We start from the raw sequence: 6179 nt of genomic DNA on the forward strand, positions 1-6179 counted from the left end.
GTTTACTACAAAGAGAACTATTTGGATATTGTAGTCATCTGAAACAATGCTAACTGAAGGATTAGAGAAACCCATAAATCCATCTGTCTTGGAAGAATTAGTAAGGTAAGAATACATACATATTAGATAGAAGGAATTCAGACATTTAAAGTAACATTTCTCAAACTATTTTGTTTGTAAAAATATTTCTTTGGAAACGGGATATGTAATAAAATTATAAAACATCCAAGAAAAAAAGACTGTAAAAGAACCATTGCCTTGCGTAGACCAAGATTTCATATACTCACACAAAAAATCTTAATGCAATGTAAATTTATAAATTGGAATATACTAAAATTAAGAAACTGTGTTCATATAAATGTAGTATTTATAGAATTTTTAAAGACTATATATGGGAAGAAAGCATTTGCAATATATACATTTGACAAAAGACTCTTATCCAGTATACATCTATGTGTGTATGCATGAATTCCTTCCAATCCAACATATTATGCCACTGAAACCCCACTAGCATGACTAACATGAAAAAGATAGATAGTTAATATTAACTACCGGGAAATATGTAAAAAGTGTCATTAATTTTCTTTCTTTTTTATTTGGAGACGGAGTCTTGCTCTGTCACCCAGGCTGAAGTGCAATGGCAAGATCTTGGCTCACTGCAACCTCTACCTCCTGGGTTCAAGCAATTCTGTTGCTTCAGCCTCCCAAGTAGCTAGGATTACAGGTGCCCACCACCACACTGAGCTAATTTTTGTATTTTTAGTAGAGATGGGGTTTCAGCATGTTGGTCAGGTTGGTCTCAAACTCCTAACCTTAGGTGATCCACCCGCCTCGGCCTCCCAAAGTGCTGGGATTACAGTTGTGAGTCACAGCACCTGGCCATTTTCAATACTGGTAAATTGTTATGACCAGTTTAGCTAAAATTTTGGTAATATCTATTTAAGCTAAGCATGCATATTACCTATAATTCAGCAATTTTAGCCTGGGAATTATTTCCAACAGAAATTTATTTATATATTTGCCAAAGTATATAGCAACTTTTTTTGTAGTAGTTAAAAACTGTCAAATATACAAATGTCTATAATTCTTAGAATGGATAAATTATGCTATGTCCTTTACAGGTCATGTGAAGCCAGTAGTACTCTCATACAAAAACTGAACAAATAAGTATAAAAAAGGAAATGGCCGGCTGGGCACGGTGGCTCATGCCTGTAATCCCACACTTTGGGAGGCTGAGGCAGGTAGATCATGAGGTCAACAGATTGAGACTATCCTGGCCAACATGATGAAACCTCGTCTCTACTAAAAATACAAAAATTAGCTGGGCATGGTGGTGTGCACCTGTAGTACCAGCTACTTGGGAGGCTGAGGCAGGAGAATTGTTTCAACCTAGGAGGCAGAGATTTCAGTGAGCCGAGATCACACCAATGCACTGCAGCCTGGTGAAAGAGTGAGACTCGGTCTCAAAAGGAAAAAAAAAAAAAAAAAGAAATGACCAATGTCTCTCATGAACTTAGACACAAAAATTTTCAACAAAATATGATCAAGTGGAATCTACCAATGTATAAAAAAATTTACACACCACAGCCAAGTTGTACTTATTTCTGGTATGCAATGCTGGTTTGATATTCAAAAATTATTCAATGTAATCTACTATATCAGCCAACTAAAGAAGAAAAATTACTTGATCATACTAATTGGCCTAGAAAATCTAACATCCATTCCTGCTAAAATTCTCACCAACCTTAAGAACAGAATAAATACCTCAACTTGATAAACAACATATACAAAGAATCTACAGCTAGTATCACACTTCACAGTGAGAGACTGCATGCATTTTCTGTAAGAGTGTTAAGGAATGCCTGTTCTTATCACTTTTATTAAGTATAATACAGAAACGTCTAGCCAGCACAATAAATAAAGGAAATATAAGATACACAGAAAAAAAAAAGAAATAAACTGTCCTTATTTGTAGATAGCATGATAATAAACATGGAAAATGCCAAGGAAGCTTACCCTTCAATCCACCCCAACCCCCCACCCCGGCCATAAAAAGCCCTATCAGAAAAAAAAAATGAATTCTTCCAGGTCATAGCATAAAAATCAACAGACAAATCAAATTTCAATTTACCTAAACTAATAATGAACCTTTGGAAACAGAAATTACAAACACAATACCATTTGTAATTGTTCTAAAGAAAATAATATACTGAGATTAAAAACTTCAAAAATATGTATAGTACCTATATGCTGACAATTTGAAAATGCTGATGAAATAGTTTTTTGAAAGACCTAAATAAATGGAGAGACATATCATATGCATGAATTGAAAAAGTTAACACAGTAAAGATGCAAATTCTATCAAAATTAAGCAATAGGTTTTATACACTTTCTATTAAAATACCATCACTTTTTGGTGTGTGTGTGTGTGTGTGTGTTTGTGTTTGGTATACACGACAAAATGTAGGACTAACATTCAGAAAACTAAAACTGGACCCCTTCCTTACACCTTATACAATAATTAACTGAAGATTAATTAAGGACTTAAATGTAAAACCCAAAACCATAAAAACCCTATAAGAAAATCGAGGCAATACTATTCAGGACATAGGTATGGGCAAAGATTTTATGATTAAATCACCAAAAGCAATTGCAACAAAAGCGAAAATTGACAAATGCGATCTAATTAAACTAAAGAGCTACTGCACAGCAAAAGAAACTATCAACAGACAGAACAGGCAACTTACAGAATGGGAGAAAGTTTTTGCAATCTACCCATCTGACAAAGGGCTAATATCTAGAATTTACATGGAATTTAAACAAATTTACCAAAAAAAAAAAAAAAATCAAAAAGTGGGCAAAAGACATGAACAGACACTTCTCAAAAGAAGACATTTATGTGGCCAACAAACATGAAAAAAAAGCTCAACGTCACTGATCATTAGAGAAATGCATATCAAAACAGCAATGAGATACTGTCTCATGCCAGTCAAAATGGCAATGATTAAAGTCAAGAAACAGCAGATGCTAGTGAGGCTGTGGAGAAATAGGAATGTTTTTACACTGTTGGTGGGAATGTAAATTAGTTCAACCATTGTGGAAGACAGTGTGGCAATTCCTCAAGTATTTAGAACCAGAAATGCCATTTGACTCAGCAATCCCATTATTAGGTATATACCCAAAGGAATATAAATTATTCTATTAAATTATAAAAATGTAAAAAAAAATGTAGGGCTAGACAAGACAAGGAGTTATTAGCCTTGATGCTAAAGGCATGGTCCATAAATGGCAAAATTATAAATTAATTATACCTCGCCAAAATAAAAATAACTTTTGCTCTGTGAAGAATCTGTGAAAAAAATGAAAATCAAGCTACACGCTGAGAAAAAAGTATTGGCAAAATATATATCTCACAAAAAGTTTTTATATCTAGATTATATAAAGAACTATGTCTCAAAATAAATAACTCTCGTAACATTAAGAAATAAACCAAGTAGAAAAAATGGGCAAAAGACATAAATAGACCTTTTACTTAAGAATATATACAGATGGCAACAAGAACATAAATTATTTTTAACACTATTAGCCACTGAAAAAATAAAAGCACAATGAATGAGATAGCTATTACAATGGCAAAATTTTTTAAAAAACTGTGAAAACACCAAATGACAGCAAGAATGCGGAGAAACGATTTGCTGATACATTGATGGTGGGAATGTAAAATAGTACAGCCACTCTGGAAAATAGATTGGCAATTTCTTGAAAAATATTAAGCATATATTTACATATCAGCCAGAAATTACATTTCCGCTCAATAATCCCAGAGAAATAAAAACTTATGTTTATACAAAAACATATACATGAATGTTCAGAGCACCACTATTCATAATAACTCAACATTGAAAACATCTCAAATGTCCTTCAATGGTGAATTTTTAAACACTGTGCTACATCCATACCATGGAATACTACTTAGCAATACAAAGGAACATATTATAAATATATGAAATAACTAGGATGAAGCTCAAGGCAAATATACTTAGTGAAATAAGCAAATTTTAAAAGTCCCATACTATTTGATTACATTTATTTAACATTCTTGAAGTGACAAAACTGTGGCAATAGCAAATAAATTAGTAATTCCAGGGGCTAAAGATAGGGGTGGGATGGTGGGAGAGAATGCTGTGCAGGTGGATGTAGCCATCAAAGGGATATCAAAGCAGGAAGATCCTTGTGAAGTTGGAACTGTTTTATATCGTAAATATGGTGACAGTTACATAAATACAAAAATGTGATTATATTAGGGTTCTCTAGAGGGACAGAACTAATGGTATGTGTGTGTGTGTGTGTGTGTGTGTGTGTGTGTGTATGTGTGTGTATGAGTTTATTAAGGTTTTGTTTTGTTTTTGTTTGGTTTTGTTTTGTTTTTTAGACGGAGTTTCACTTGCTACCCAGGCTGGAGAGCAATGGCACGACCTTGGCATACTGAAACCCGAGCTTCTAATTCTTGCTAATATGTTTGTCAACAAGCACAGATTTATTAATGATCCATTATGGATCTAGAATGCTCCAGAATAGAAGCTGAATAGATGTAGGTTTTTTGTTTAAGATTAAATCTAAAAACACACAAATACAGAATTCTCTTCTCTGTTTACTGATTTTTCTATAAAGCAATTGAATGGTAATTTTTTTCAAAACTGTAAATATTTCTGTTTGGAATGATTATCTCTCTGACATATTAGTCTAATATTTTCAAGCTGAATTTCATTTTCTTGTTTCTTACTACATTTATGACCTCTGTAGGTAATTTATTTCTATGTTTATTATAGTCTTTTGTCCACCTACCAATATACTATAATTCACGTGTTCCACAAACATGTAGTTTGCCTTTCTTTTAGATTTTAATCTAATGTTAAAGAAGATTAAAACTCACACCAAATCCTATAGAATTTGCTCTTTGGAAATATTCACATCCCATTCAATGACATGTGTCATTACTCTTTAGGAATTTTGAGCCCTTTTTAATCTATGAAATTGTTCTTCTCAAATATCATAAGTCAATTCTGAAAATACTATTTTATGATGTCATATCAAATATTTCATAAATGAGATTTTACATGAGATAATACTTGTGATACCTGAAACATCTGATTAATTTTCTCAGGAAATAATCTATAGCTATACAGGCTCATCTATATTTTAAGCTGCTCAGCAGTCATTTTGAAATATCAAGTAAGCAGAGATATAAGTAGTTCCTTACAAATTTAGTCAGTGTCATCGTATAGATGTATATACGTACAATTACACATGTATATGTGTACATCATATATATGTACAATTGTATGTGTGCAGACACACACACACATATGCTTCGATAGCTTCTAGTTTAATAATCCCATTTGAAATATAGTACCAAAAATATTCTGATTCATTTTTTCACTCAAATATATCCCCCATCAAAAATGTAGGCAATAGAGCCCATTCCTATTAAAACAATATTGATATCCAGAATACAATATATTTGCTAATTTCTTTCAGTTTCCTTAAATTATGTAAAGCACTTTTTATAATATGTTTTCTTAATAGCGTCTAGCGTAGTACACAACTTTCCACAAAACATTTCTTGTTGATAGTGCTGTTTCCTCTTCTTTCCATTAATGAATGAATAAACAAGTTTGTATATTAGCATTAGTTTTACAAGTTGATTAATAATCTCATCTTTCTTATACATTTGTCAAATATTCTATCACCTATTATTTTTCATGTACAGATTAAGATATAATAGTAAACAATATTTCAAAAACTGAATTTTAAGGACATAATAGTCTGCCTAACAAATATTTCTAAGGTGATATTGGCCCCCTATTGGACATAAGGTTTGCAAATCCATTCCCCAATTTCACAGGTTTCATTTCACTTTGTTGATTCCTCCTCCCTCTGCTGTGTAGGAATTTTTAGTTTGATACATAGTTCCACTTGTTTATTTTTGCATTTGTTGCCTGTGTTTTTGAAGTCATATTCATAATCTCTTTACCAAGACCAGTGTCAGGGAGATTTTTCTTTATGTGTTCTGCTAGGAGTTTGACAGTCTCAGGTCTTACATTTAAATCTTTAATCCATTTTGAGACAATTTTTGTATAATTAGTAGAGAGATAAGAGTCCAATTTTATTCTTCTGCA

Source organism: Homo sapiens, chromosome 5 (genome assembly GCF_000001405.40).
Source record: "Homo sapiens chromosome 5, GRCh38.p14 Primary Assembly".
Taxonomy (NCBI): domain Eukaryota; kingdom Metazoa; phylum Chordata; class Mammalia; order Primates; family Hominidae; genus Homo; species Homo sapiens.